This window comes from Homo sapiens, chromosome 7 (assembly GCF_000001405.40).
Source record: "Homo sapiens chromosome 7, GRCh38.p14 Primary Assembly".
NCBI classification, from domain to species: domain Eukaryota; kingdom Metazoa; phylum Chordata; class Mammalia; order Primates; family Hominidae; genus Homo; species Homo sapiens.
The window spans coordinates 137,657,372-137,672,123 of record NC_000007.14 but is presented as its reverse complement, the minus strand read 5'-3'; the positions used below and the strand labels follow the sequence as shown (position 1 = coordinate 137,672,123).

Below are 14,752 nucleotides of genomic sequence, written 5' to 3'. Positions count from 1 at the left end.
GGTGTAAGTGAGCAGACAGGCAGGTTGGTGTCAGAAGCTGGGAGCTGCAGGGAACAGAGTAGGTAGATGGTGAGGTGAGTGAGCGTGTATGTTGTGTAAGAGGAAAAATGGAACTGTCAGACTTCAGGATGCTGTTACCAGATATATCTTCTCTATTTTTAAATGTGAGCATGCCACCCTCTTTTTGTGGACCAGCTAATAGGTACTGCTTTGCTTTTGTTATTGTTTTGTTCTTGTATTTTGCTTTAGTCTTTTCCTCGTAGATAATGTTTGGTGAAAATGGCTTAACCCTACCTGTGACACCCTGCCTTAATTCTAAGTTTTCTTCTAATGTTGCTTGCAATTTGCCAAATACAGTTTTACTGAGAAAGTGAATGAATTGAGTTAGAGAGGCCATGTGATATGAGAGTTGGAGGATTGGAGGGCAAGAGCTTCACAGATCCAGAGACAAAAAGATCTAGATAAAAATGCAAGTTCTGCTCTGCCTTTCTGAGCCTCAGTTTCCTCTGTAAAATAGTGGTGATTAAATCTACCTCTCAGAATCAGTAGAGGGATAAAATCAGTTAACAAATGTTTGTATTCATTTTCCTCCTCTTCTGTACCTACTATGGTTCAATGTCATGGAGCTGAACAAGCTAATTAGCAGATTTGGTTGGACTTTGGCTTAACAAGGCCTTATATTTGGGATGATTCCAACACTAAGACTCTTATGGCTTCACCTGTCATTTTGCTGCTGTGTGTAGCATCCATATTCTTACCAAGTCATGACTGCGGACAACTGAGTGGGACAAATCAAAGTAACCCATTCTGTGATCTCATCTCACAAGCTGTGTCTTCTTATTGGTGAATCAGAAGCCTCATCATTGTCTGTAACGGGGTATCACAATATTTGCTCACAGGAATGCTGGTCATGTCCTTAGATTCTTGGAAGAAACTTTCAAGAAGAGTACAAGGGTCATAGCTTTCTGCCCTATTTGAAGGAAACTTTCAGCTTTCTGCTGTTTAAAAATGAAAATGATTTTGAGCCCAGTTACACCTTGTCTGTTTCATCTCAGGAAGAATGAGCACCAGGCAGCAGCTTGTGAAAATGCTGGTTCCCATGCATCTGTGTGTGTGGGTGAGAAGATGAGGCAATCAGAGCCCGACATGCATTACTGGGGACTTTCTGGCCATCTGCGTATTCAGGTCTAGCTGGTGTGTAACATGGAGCACCAGCATTGGACTTAGAATGCACCAAGATCTGCCTGCATGTTGCTCCTGCTCTGTCAGCCTCAAATGCCAGTTGTCTGGCACAGCAGACTCATGATCTGCACCCCAGATGGCAGTTTGGCTGAGCTGGGTGCAGGCTGTCAGAGGGAACCACGTGTGTGGCAATAAAGCCCAGGAGGCAAAGCCCGCTCTCTGAGTTGTTTGGGTGCCAGCCATTCTCTGCCAGGGGCCTTTTTCACCATTAGGATATTGAGGATCTAATGAATCAAGATGACTCATGGAAAGTGTGGCCATCAACAAAAATAAGAAAAGAATTTTCACAGACACACTGTCTGCTACTGAGTTCCTAGTCAGTGGATATGAGAGAGGGAGAGAGTGGGGTGCTCTCAGTGGCAGAAGTAATGTCACCCTTTAGGTGTCTGGCCTGATAGCTCAGCATTTCCATGAGATCGTTCACGTGCACACTTAGTGTCTGGCACATGGTAGACCCTCAGGACATGTTAGCCATTGTTACTATGACAACTGTCATGGGGATCGTTATAATTTGGTACCAAGTGCTGTCTGTATATTAAAGGAGAATCTAGTGCTGATACTGCTCACTTCATGTAATGGGGATAGTGATAGTATATGTAGGCTATGAAGCCAAGGGATCTTTAGGATTCTGTCACTTCTAGGTGACCCTGGATCAATAGTACCATTGTCTATTTGCACAGCCCATTTTCTTTTGACCCAAAATTGTGTTCTGGAGAACACTAAACTCAAAAGAAAACAATATACGGCATTATACATTAAAAGGAGCTCATGACCATAAATTTTGAAAACACTGAATGACTTTAATATGCAAATAGGTCCTGTGAAGCTCAACGAAGCATATAAGGTATGCAGGATTTCCTACTTTTTTTTTGAGTGGATGGGAGGATTGTGGAACCCATAATTTCCCCACAGAACACCCATTGCCATTTTGTAGGATCTTAGGAGTCAGTGGAAAAGTATTTGAGAAATGCTCACACAATGCTTTGCAGTTTTCCTAGGACTCATACTCGTCTCTGATCCATAACAACAACATTTTGAAGTAGTCACATTGGGTTGGGTTGTTCACTTCTACCTAAAGATAAAGGAAAAAAAGAGTCACAGAGGCTTACTCACTCTCTAGAGCTTTATGACTTTTTTCTATCTTTGTGCAGTTCTTTTGCCTTTATACTAAACTTTCATTAAGCCAAAATGCATGTGTCTTATTTTATTCTTAGAGTTTGAACCTCTGAGAATAATTGTCATCTTTTCTGTCATGACAATTTTAGATTGAGGCTGCATTTGCGTGTTTGTGTAAGGGTGTGTGTTTCTGTGAAGCAGTTCTGTTGTTATTGGATATTGTATGGTCCTGTTACCTAGTAATAAAAATAATTTGCATCTGATTTAGCATAAGGCTTACATGTTACCTAGGCAATGCCCAGGTGTACAGAAATGGTTTCTCTTCTTGCAATGTTTTCCAGGGGCAGGGACCCACAGTACTGGGGTTTAACCAGTATTCCTGTTGCTTAGAGGCACTCAATCTTGATGGAAGCATTATTTGCATTATCGGTTACTCCAAAACCACTACTGGCCCCCAAAGTTGGTATTGTCTCTGTTTGTTAGGAGCTTGTTGTTGTTGTTCCCTGCCACATTGATGAGGTGGATACATATTCAGAAGGTGATGCTTTAAAAACACGAGGAAATGGAAAATCCTGCATTGATGCCTTCATTTAAGGGGGTGCAGGTAATGTGTTGATGAAGCGTGTGAGCTTTGGAATCAGATGACCTGGTTTTGAATCCTGATTTCCAGGCTTTGAGTTGTGTGACACTGGTCCTTGTTTTAACCTCGTTAAGCCTAAGTTTTACATCTGGAAAATGGGATTATACTGCTTCTTGTGGTTGTTGTGAAAATTAAAAGAGTTAATGCATATATAACAGCAGGCTGGCAAATCACAGGCACTCAATAAATATTGACCACTATAATCATTCCTCCTTGAATGAAAGTGGTTCCAAGAAACAGAGCCAAAAGAGACAACTCAGAGTACTAGGTTTGGAGAGTCTTAGCATCACCTACTACCTCTGTTTCCTCGAGGAAAGTTAAGGACTGAGCTTGTGAGGTGAAACAACTAGCCTAGCTGACAGTCAGGCTCTCCCTCCCCTCTTGCTCCTTCACCATTCTGTCAACCTTTTACAGCACACACCACTTACTAGCTATCATACTTTTAAAAATTGCTCGCTTATTTATCTGTCTCCAACACTACAGCATAAGCTCCATTTAGCTCAGGAACTCTGCCCTTGTTGTCCTCTCCTGTATTCCCCACACTGAGGATAAGTGATTGAACTGAATAGTTACCCTGTGTTACTTAACATTGAATGAATGAATGAGTTCAATGAGGTGCTTGTTGAGAGAGAGACACATACACACACAGACACCTGTCACCAGATCAACCCTGCCATTTAAGTATTGTTATATTTATAATCCAGGACGTCTGAATTCCTGCCTCCTTTTTAAGACTCTTTAGAGGGAGATTTAACACATGCAGGTAGCTGACTTGTGTAAGGTTTTATGCCCTGTTTAGCCAGTGCCATGCCTTTTGCAGTGCATTTTATTTCATTCTCGTGGAGAACAGAGACTGCTTTTTGCCATCTTGGCACAGGGGGTCATGTGTGGTTGTCATTAGTCAGTTCCCCTAGGGATCTCATGAGAACAGATCATATGAAGCAATCACGTTAAATATCATATTTCTTATCTATCCTCATCAGTCTTGGTCCCCCAGGTTACCACTAGCAAAGAAAAGAGGAAAACAGTAAGCTGTAACACATAGAGATGGCTTTGGGTTAGAAAGACTTCCACTCTTAGCTAGTCTTTCTTGGGCAAGTTGCACAGTCTCATAGGGTCTCAGTTCCCTTAGCTGGGTAAGTCGTACCTACTTGGCATGGCAGAAGTGAGCTCTGTTTACAGTGTGGGTAATGTGTATATTACACAGCTAGCCTCCTGGCAAATCTCTGTGGGTATGATGTCCTCATTAAAAAATGAAATGGGCGGGTGTGTATGTGTCAGTGAAAACATTACCAACTGGAGGTACAGTGTTGAGTAAACAATGACTGAGATGTCTGTGGGTCTTCCTGGACTAGATTGGCTGGAAGACTGCCTTAATTATGTCACCAAATAGCTTGGAATGTGAAAAATGGCAGTGAAAGGATAACTAACTTACCACAGCTTGATATCGCTTCTTAACTAGAAATACAGTATTCCATATCAAAGCAAATATCTCTAAATTTTTGGTTAGAAATATTAAGCTGTGAACTTTAAGAAAATAATTCTATTTCCACAAAGTAAACTGATAATGGAAACATGTCAGGATTCATAATACAAGTAAGATGGTGTTTATGGTACTGTCACACCAGCAAGGACTGAAAAAGGCAAAGTGTTTGGGATTTCCTAGTTTATACTAAGGCTCAAATCTCTGCTGTACCCGTGATATGCTACCTCAGAACTAGAGAAAGCCACCAAGACATAGAAACACCATTTTCTATTAACTTGTTTTGTTATGACTTCTGTAATATGTCTAGCCCATCTTCACTCAAGTCTGTCTGCTTGAAATTTGTGAATGCACATGGGTGTGTATGTGTGTAGGGCTCTAATGGTATGAATTTCTACTTATTAGTGTCTGTGTACCTGTAATTATATTTATATCCATATTTGCGTGCATATCAATCCTTCAATTACTCTACTATAAGACACCTGGCAACTTTGACCTGCTGGCACAAATAATAACCTTGAAGAGCGTGTAAAAATATGACAAGGAACAGCCACAAAACCACCTGTAAAGAGCCAAAATCAGGAAGATTGCATCTGATGAGTTGAAACTAGTGACCGGCTGTGGTTGTATACTGACTTCTAAGCTGAGAAGCATAGAAAAACAAATGGGGAAAAAGAAATAAGAGAAAAGAGAAGCAGGCAAATTTTAAAGAAGCAGAAACAAGAAACAAGGGCAACAAAGTACAGAGAACTTCAATAATAAGAATGATGAAATATGAAGTGTCCTTGGGTAAAATGAGAGCCAGGGTGGGAAACAGAATTATGGATTTTTAAGGATTTCTTCAAGTTCATTAGGCTGGAACCCTTTTTAATGTATCATGAGCATGAGGGAAGAGGCAGAAGGAATACCTGAGCTGCCCAGTAATCTAGATGGAGGGGCACAGTGAGTATCATTCCCCATGACTCTCCGCCTGGCAACTCTGAGGGCATCAGTTTGTTAGTATCATTTGATTAGACTTGTGCAAACCCATTCAAACTTATCAGGCCCTTCGCCATGCTTGTTATAAAGACTGGCTGCAATATTTGTTTTATATCTCAATAACTGTGCCTGAATTGTAAGAAGATTTCCAAAAGATGGTGGCAGTACGCGATAGTCACCCAAATGAATTCCAAGGTGTAGACTTCTCCTAAGATTCACGTCGTAGCTTTCTGTTTTTTTGTTTGTTTGTGTGTTTGTTTTAGAGACAGAATTCTGCCATGTCACCCAGGTTGGAATGTGGCGATGTGATCCTGGCTCACTGCAGCCTCAAACTCCTGGGCTTAAGTGATCCTACTGCCTCAGCCTCCTGAGTATCAGGGACCACAGGCTTGCTGTAGATTTCTGTTGAAGCCTATCAGAGAAACTTTGTGCCTATCACTTTCTTCTCATTAAAAAGAAGTATTAAATCCACTAACATAAGTCACATTTAACCATTTAAGAGTGTGATTTGGTACAAATTTTAGTTTAAGGGTAAACTGTTGAGATACAGACATGTACCTTTTTCCTCCCTTAAAAAGAATCCTGTACTGTTCTGACTGTAGTTTTTACCAAACTTAATCCAGTGCTCAAAACACGATGGATGTATCATTCTTTGTAACCAGTCATGAACGTTAGCTTTGAATTAACGCAATCCTAGCAATTTGGTTCTTACCAAATTGTTTCTCCTATGAGCCCCGATTGGCTGCTTCTCAGGAAGAGGAAAGGTTTTTTGTGTGTCTTTCTAGTTCTTATATTCAGCTCACAGTCTTTTTTTTCCCTTGGCTTTCTGCTGTAAGATTTTGGTTTTCTTTCCCTTCAGATGAAAAATATAAAATACACTGGCTATCTGGGAAATAGACAACTTTTTCTTTCTGGTTCAAACAACAACACACAGGCACTGCTCTTCTTTCTCCCTGTAGGTCTCTCGGGAGGTCATGGAATTGAGCCTGCCTAGGTGGGGTTCAGCCTAGTATCTAGAATCTACCTGCACATCTGAGGTTACTCAGGGGAGGTGCTAGGAACATCAACATAAACACTTCATATGCAGAATGCTTCTGATAATGTGTTTCTCAGAACAGAACAAAACACGCTGTTCGAAGAGCATCAAGTGAGTTTTCCTGCGGTACTCGAGAGGCAATTCCAACCATAATAGAGCATGAGACTGTCAGGTATGCTGTCAGCCCAGCATACACATGAACAGCAAAGCTGCCCAAGGGGTAGGATTGAAGCCCTCCTGAGCTGCTGATGATTCTACTGAAATACTTAAGGACAAAATATAAGGAATTCACACTGACCTTAGTGGAGGCTGGTGTGGGGCTGGGAAGAGGGCTGTGTGCTCTCAGTCACTCTTGTGCCTCTGCCTTTCCTTTTTGTTCCATTCTTGTCACTCCAGTTCAGGCCCCCATCACCTCATACGGGAAATTATCACTGTGACCCTTGAATTTCTTATTCTCTTTCAGGAAAAAAAGCCAGTGTCTTAACCACGACCTGCAACACAGCATGATCTGGCCTGCTGTTATCATCTGACCTCATCTCTACTCCCCAACACTGGCCCCCAGCCACTCCTTAGCATCCTGACATCCTCATGCCTCTGAGCTTTGCATGGCTGTGCCCTTTGCCTAGAATGTTTTTCCGCCAGATATCCACGTGGTGAACTCTCTCACTTCCTTTGGGTGTTTGTCAAAATATTCAGTGAAACCTTCCCTGGTCCACCTGTCTACAACTTCAATTTTCTGCTACTCTTGATGTTTCTTATCTCCCTTTCTCTCTTTAATTTTCTTTTTAGTACTTATTTCTGTCAATATATTATATACTAATCTCTCTTGTTTGTTGTCTGTCTCTCACAGGAGAGTATAATTTCTATGAGATCAAAACAATTTTTCAGGGCTGGGCACGGTGTCTGATGCCTGTAATCCCTGGTTCTGTCTGTTTTCTCTCCACTCCTGCAACTGTTCCCAAATAAATATTCCAAGGTTTAACTAACCTGTAGACACAGGTGGCATCACATGAGCCGCAGTAATACAGATGCAACTGTTTTTAACTCTACGCAGTCTATGTAAGACCTCAGTCTTCTGCAAAATAGCCCTTCTATCAGATAGTCCTGTGGGTCCCCAGAAGATATCTGATTTGTGCTCACAAAAATATTATAGTTGTTCAGCTATAATTGTCATGCAGCCTCTATGCTTTCTTTTTCTTTTTCCTTTCCTTTTTTTTCTTTCTTTCTTTCTTTTTTTTTTTTTTTTTTTTTGAGATGGAGTCTTGCTCTGTCACCCAGCCTGGAGTGCAGTGGCACAGTCTCAGTTCACTGCAACCTCCACCTCCCAGGTTCAAGTGATTCTCATGCCTCAGCCTCCCGGGTAGCTGGGATTACAGGCGCCCGCCACCATGCCCAGCTAATTTTTTGTATTTTTAGTAGAGACAGGCTTTTGACACGTTGGCCAGGCTGGTCTTGAACTCCCAGCCTCATGTAATCTTCCTGCCTCGGTCTCCCAAAGTTCTGGGATTACAGGCGTGAATCACTGCACCCAGCCGCACTATTTTTTCCCTATTGTGGGCAGAGGGCTTCCATTCCTCAAACAGTCTGAGGGCACCTCATTACTGTTGCTTTTGGGATTGCTTATTACGAGAATGTCTATGTCCCGGTGGGGGTTTTGTCTCCTAATGTTTCCTAAGCCACCAATTCTCCAGACCGGGGCTGATTGAGGGTTAAGTGGGGAGGGAGCCCTATGTCAGAAGCCCTTTCTCCTTTCTTCCCTCCCCCTTTCCTTTCAGAATAACTGTGTCAGGCAGTGTTCTTGGTTCTCAGTGCTGGAATATAGCGGCATGGAAACACACAGAGAAATCTCCACCTCTCTGTAACTCTGTAATTTTGAACCCCATGGCTTCTGGGGCGTAGTTCTGTTTCCCCTTCTCATGAAGCTCCTCATAGACAGCTCCTCTGGCTTCTTAACACAGCCAGTGTACCTACTTCCCAGGTTTGAGGGCTGCCAGCAACCCCCAGACACACCGTTCAAACCTCCACACTCAACCACCAGCCCTGAGCCCAGTGACTCCTGTACATAGACACCCAGGAGCCCAGGAATTGTCCCGCAGTGGACATGCCAAAGCAGGTCTCCATGCCTTTTCAGAGGCGTCGGTGCCTACTACGTAAAGAGACTTCAGATCTTTTTCCTGCTGGAATGCCTTTGATTTTTTTGAATATACATATTTTAAGCCCAAATTAAAGAATTTGCTTTCTCTGCTAGACCCTTTTTACTGGTTCAGCCTCAGATTTTGCCCTCCTCTAGGTGACAGCTTTTCTTGTCTGGGCTGTTGTTGAGCATGTCGCCATGTGTGGCTCTCTCCTGTGAATGGCCTTTTCTACCAAGTTCCTCTTGTCTCCTCAAGTAGCTTGCCAGCTCTTGCAAGGACAGAAGCTTCCTCCTGTTTATATCCTGTACAGCACTCACATAGTCTTATACACATAGTGATGGTTAAAATAATTGGTGGACTGAATTTCCATAAATATATTCTGGAAAAGTCAGCAGTAACAGATTGTTTCAGCCATATGGAATCTTCTCTTATGTAGGATAACTCAAACCATCATGATTCCAGATACCCAGCATCTACAGATTCAGGAGTATTGGTGTATATCTGAGCATTGCATGAGTATTTTGGTGTATCCTTTGTAAGAGTCTCCAACCCAACTTCTAGTTGTTCCTACTGCTTTTCTTCCAGATATTCTGAGATACTTTTGGCACCATCCCTTATCAAGGGTGTTGGTTGTTGGGGGCTATCTCAGAAGGTTTCAGCCTTTACCAAGTCCTTGTCTGTCCACAGATCACATTGCACAAACACATGGAGTCTTTACAAATGAAGGCCTGCCCTCCAACATGGGCCAACACTACTCAGGGTCTGGGCTGGGACCTTTTAACATGGAGTGAGGTCTCTCTGCAATTGAACCTCTAAGGAGAGGTCTGAGTTTCCACTCGGGTCACAGACTCCTCCGGACATGTGGCATCTTTGCTCCTTGGTCTGGAATCATGAGATCCTGTTGTCATAGACAGAATGAGTGATATACTGAGGATAAAAGAAGTGTGCTGGGGCCGGGCGCGGTGGCTCACGCCTGTAATCCCAGCACTTTGGGAGGCCAAGGCAGGTGGATCACGAGATCAGGAGATCGAGACCATCCCGGCTAACACAGTGAAACCCCGTCTCTACTAAAAATACAAAAAATTAGCCGGGCGTGGTGGCGGGCACCTGTAGTCCCAGCTACTTGGGAGGCTGAGGCAGGAGAATGGCGTGAACCCGGGAGGCAGAGCTTGCAGTGAGCCGAGATCCCGCCACTGCACTCCAACCCCGGGCAACAAAGTGAGACTCTGTCTCGAAAAAAAAAAAAAAAAAAAGGAGTGTGCTGGAACTTCAGCCGGCCACCCTCCTGGCTTGTCCAAAATGTTCTATATTCCTTTGAAGAAAAAGGGAAGCCTGCATGAGTGATGGTGGAGGTCGGGCTTTGGCCCTGAAATCATATTAATGGAACTTTCAGATAATGTCATTCTTCATTTTTCCTAATGCCAATTTATAGATTGCATCCCAGACTCCCCAGAGAAGTAGAATTTGCCAAATATGCTTGTCATTTCTTCTAATTAGGTTTTTAAATAAATCAAAGAACTCTTGTTTTCATTTACCTTGGATTATACAGCAACAATCTTGTTGTGTATGTTGCCAGAGAGACAATGCCTACTGAGAGGACACCAGATTCCTGACATTCTAAGAGCTTAGGAAGGTTCCTCCCCTCCACTTTCCTAAGCATTCCATTAGCCCCGCCATTGAAGAGGAGGAGAGGACAGTCCTGCCTGGGCTGCATGGCGCCTCCTTCCTACCCATCTCCAAGATGCTGCTGTGGACCGGGCTTTGTGGTCTAAAAGGGAAGGAGAAGGGGGAGGAGGAGAGCACTCTCCTGGCCTCTCTTGCAGTTTCCCCTTTGCTTGATTTTCAGCCTTCCCTCGGTTTCTAGTCCTCGGGGTGAATCTTCCCATCTAGGAGGCTAAGGGGTAGAGAAACCATGGGGGAGAAAGCTGGGAGGCAGCTGGGGGTAGGCCTGGCCCAGCAACCTCCTCTGTCCTTCTCCTTGGCTTCTCACCATGTGGCCCCCCTCTGGCCCTTTCCCCAGCATGCCCCATCTGCCCCCTTATGCACTCACAGTATTGTTGGTTTCTGCCTGAAGCCCCTTTCCTGGCTGTCATCCCTTTGCTCACTGTGGCCTCATAGCTGGTGATTCCTTGCATTACGTCTGGGAATTCTGGAGTGAGGTGCCATGAGCTCAGACTTTGCCCTGGTGTTTTTGGTCCTGCAGCAGCCTCTGGCCTCTGAGCTCCTCTGAGATGGGGAGACTAAGAACCGGTTGCCATGCTGGCTCTTTTCCTACTGCCTTCCCCATGTCCCATCTCTGGTGATTCCACCTGTCGAGGTGGGCAAGCTCAGTGGGAGCTCTTAGGACCGCAGTAGAAGCTATGTAGTCAGCAGGCAGTGCAGTTGGCCCCACTGCAAGAAGAAATAAAGCTTGCCGTGTGCCTCATTCAGAAGGGGACAGCCAGCCTTGTTGTACCTGCTTCCTGGGTGTCAAACTTCTGACAATTGGGAATGACAGATATTTAATTTTACTTACCTTGGGCAGCAAAAAGGCCCCAATCCTTTTATAGATCATGGGCCTGTGAAAGTAGCTAACCCCAGGCCCTGAAGGACCCACCCCTCTTCTCCTTTCCTCCCCTCTCCTCTCCCTTCTCTCCTACCCTTTCCCGTCTTTTCCCCTTCCCTCTTTTTCATCTTTATTTTTCATCATCTTTCCCATCCTTCCTTTCCTGTTTTTCTCCATCAAACTCTCTCAACTCCCACCAGATATTCATTGTTACTTAGCAGAAATCACATATCTTGCTCAAAGGAAGAAAAAAAATAGCTTTCTTGGTACATATAGATCAGGGACTTAGGCAAGGGAGGTAGTTGGGTGGGATAGGATTCAATATTAATCTCTTTATTAGGGACAATTGTATACTCTCTACCACTGCCTGCCACTGATGCCTCTGTCCTCCTCAATCCCCATTCCCTGCTCCAGTGGTCTAAAGCTGTGACAGTTTTTCTCCCTTGCCTGCTATGAGCTGAAGATTGGTGGAGAGCTGTCACTACTTTCAATGCCAGCAGGGCCTGCAGCATGGGAAATATGTAGGATGTGTTTTCTCTTATAACCACTGTATGGCTGCTGGTGAGATCATGCCCACCATCCTAAAACCTAGCATATATATTATTGTGTTGTTATTTAAGTAAATGTTGGTCATGTTTTTATTAGAACAGTGTAATATAATGGACTGTGATCTATACTGTATTCCATATTGTCTTAGTTTAAACGGATATGTTCCCCCCTCTGCCCACCCCGTACCACACACCTACAAATAAGTTTCTTTTGAATACCAACACCAGCAAAATCAGGAAACCCTTAGTAAGGGTGCTTAGGTGCTGTTTGATATTTAAGGCAGTAAGCTCAACTGGCCTTTAAATTCATTGATGAGAGCAAATTATTGTTTTTTAAATAATTTTAATTTTTAAACATGTTTCATGTTCTAGGCAATATTTGTTTAAATTATGTTTTTGTGCTAGGTTCTATAACAACTGTGTCCCAATGTAAGGAATAAGAGGTAACCTACTGAATGCTTCTTTTTTGAGATGGAGTCTCGCTCTGTCGCCCAGGCTGGAGTGCAGTGGCGCGATCTCGGCTCACTGCAAGCTCTGCCTCCCGGGTTCACGCCGTTCTCCTGCCTCAGCCTCCTGAGTAGCTGGGACTACAGGTGCCCACCACCATGCCTGGCTAATTTTTTTGTATTTTTAGTAGAGACGAGCTTTCACTGTGTTAGCCAGGATGGTCTCGATCTCCTGACCTTGTGATCCGCCCGCCTCAGCCTCCCAGAGTGCTGGGATTACAGGCATGAGCCACTGCTCCCGGCCCCTACTGAATGCTTTTAAGTGACTTTTCTTGGTTTAATTTATCACCTTTCGTAGAGAAGTAAGCACTGGCTCATATAAGTTATTTGGGAAAAAGTGAATATTTGTAGTATTTAGAATGTCCAGATTCCTGCATCTTACCTTTGTGTATAGCTGGGAACTTAAAAATGAAAAATTGCAACCTAACTAAGCACAAAATTCTAGGTGTTTTGGGCAATTTCTGTCCGGAAGCTTATTATCCAACTACTTCAAATAACTTTAACCAGTTGAAATGTAGTCATACACCGTGAAGTCAGTGATTAAAATTTCCGATTTGCTAAAACAGTTTCCCTCAATTAAGGAACTAAAAATCTATTTACTTTTCTACTATGGCAAAAGACCTGGGACCTTTATTCAGAATTTATTTACTTAATTTTACATATGATTGTAAACTGTAATTATCTGATTTCTCAGATTAAAAGCTGTTGAGAAGCTGCCATTTAGGAAATTGAGAGCAACAAAAGACAGCAACACTGACTCAAAAGGAGCTCTACCCAAACAGAAGGACAGGAAAGAGAAAAATGACTGTTCTTTGTACAGTGCATCATGTTGTAGTCTTTATGAAGAAAAATTTAGAATATGGTTTATATATTCTGCCTCAAAAGGCACATAAGTTCATAATATATTTTAAGAGGATCTTTTAAAAATCAATATAGTTCAGTTAAAATCAGTTTTAGAACTTACAGCACTCGACTCCATATATTATCATCTGCGGAACGTTGCACTTCAGTTTTTCCATATGAATGATGTTAGTGCATTTACATGACGTTCCAGAAGGCTGAGAGATAGCATATCTTAATGCACCAGTTCTCAAATTCTTCTAGCCCAGATCCCTTGTGCAAAAGATGTTTTGACTCAGAATCCTGATTTGTAAAACAAAGGAGGAGGCATTGCATTTCATTGAATGCATGAGGCTTCCTGAGTTTTCTCCGCATCTTCCTTCCATCTTCAGTGACTTTCGTAACAGACTAAGAAATCCCTGGAACTCCATAGAACTTAATGCAGAGCGTAGTGTCAAGCACGAAGCTAGACTAGGACAGGAGTTATTGGCAAGGAGGGAGGCTTTTCAGGCATCCTTAAATCACAGCCTGTAAGTGGTTGCCTACCTGTGGTAATATTGCATTGCTTATCCACAATGTAATTTACTAGGAGTTTCATGGGAAATGAATAGACTAAAATCAACTCCAGTTTCCTTTGTGTCGCTATAACTCTGATTAGCAATGTGACTCAAATGCCCCATGCATTTTCCACAGGTGGTGCCAAAGCAGTGATTCGCACCAGGATATCCATAGGAAACAGAAGGGAAACCATGATTTGCTTATGGGTGCTCTACCCTGTAGAGCAAAATAGAATTTTTTGATTGTCCTTTTGATTGCTACTGCTGTGTTACTACGATTACTACTGTATGTTTTCTTGTTCCTCCCCCTCCTTCTTTTTCTCTTCTTCTTTTCTTTTTTAGTAGTAGAACAAGACACTGTTCAGTAGTGTAGCTAGATGCTTTGGTTTCTTTTATCATTGTTATGTGCAAAAGCAATTGTCAAATGTATTTCATGTGCTACACCATGTTCTTCCCTCAGGAAGAGGAAATCCGAGAGTGATAAAAGCATCTGCAAGCAGAATAAAGGAATCTCAGTCAGTGGATTTCTTCTACAAGTTTCATGGCAGCGGTACTGCAGTGTTTTAGGTTCTTTGTTGGTGGCTGATAATGTGTAAATACCCCATGTTGAATGAATGCAGCTGTCCAAGACCTATGAGGCTGCATTTTCTTTCCTAATCCTACCCCTCCAAAGTGGTGGTTTGCAGCTCTTCAAATCTCTGGCCGCAGCAATGCTTTATTTCTTCTCACCTACCTGACACAGTTGACTCAAAAATTATACCTCAGCAGGGGAAACCACTCCTCGGAAGGGGAAGGTTGCCAGCAATCTCTAAGAGGACAGGAACTCAGGACCTTTCACACTTGGATGCTTTGATAGCCCATCTGACAGACAGGCTTAGTTATAGTACATTTCTTTCAGGCTCAAACACAGAAATTATTCATACAAATCCTCCTTCCAGTCTGTCCTTTATAGAGAGGGCTGAACTTTCCTATCTTAGATCCTGCATGACACTGGCAGTCATGAAATGTAGATTCTGCTCATTCATCTCTCTCCATGCAGTCCATTTTTTATCATTAGAGAAAAAGATAAACTTTAAAAAGTTTTATTTCATTATAATTTTAAACTAATACTGACTGTCAGAGAGGC

At 42.9% G+C, this 14,752-nt stretch overlaps 1 protein-coding gene across 9 annotated transcripts in view, besides 3 other annotated features; it reads left to right on the top strand.

The window, feature by feature from the left end:
* Positions 1 to 14,752, top strand: part of DGKI (diacylglycerol kinase iota) — a 465,938-nt gene that overhangs the window by 174,851 nt on the left and 276,335 nt on the right. The window lies entirely within an intron of this gene.
* Positions 1,008 to 1,057: an enhancer, noted in NCBI's record as "active region_26725". NCBI's record gives its function as "activates an Ori minimal core promoter by ATAC-STARR-seq in GM12878 lymphoblastoid cells {active_cell/tissue: GM12878}" and the evidence as "EXISTENCE:reporter gene assay evidence [ECO:0000049][PMID:35858748]".
* Positions 1,118 to 1,167: an enhancer, noted in NCBI's record as "active region_26724". NCBI's record gives its function as "activates an Ori minimal core promoter by ATAC-STARR-seq in GM12878 lymphoblastoid cells {active_cell/tissue: GM12878}" and the evidence as "EXISTENCE:reporter gene assay evidence [ECO:0000049][PMID:35858748]".
* Positions 1,188 to 1,237: an enhancer, noted in NCBI's record as "active region_26723". NCBI's record gives its function as "activates an Ori minimal core promoter by ATAC-STARR-seq in GM12878 lymphoblastoid cells {active_cell/tissue: GM12878}" and the evidence as "EXISTENCE:reporter gene assay evidence [ECO:0000049][PMID:35858748]".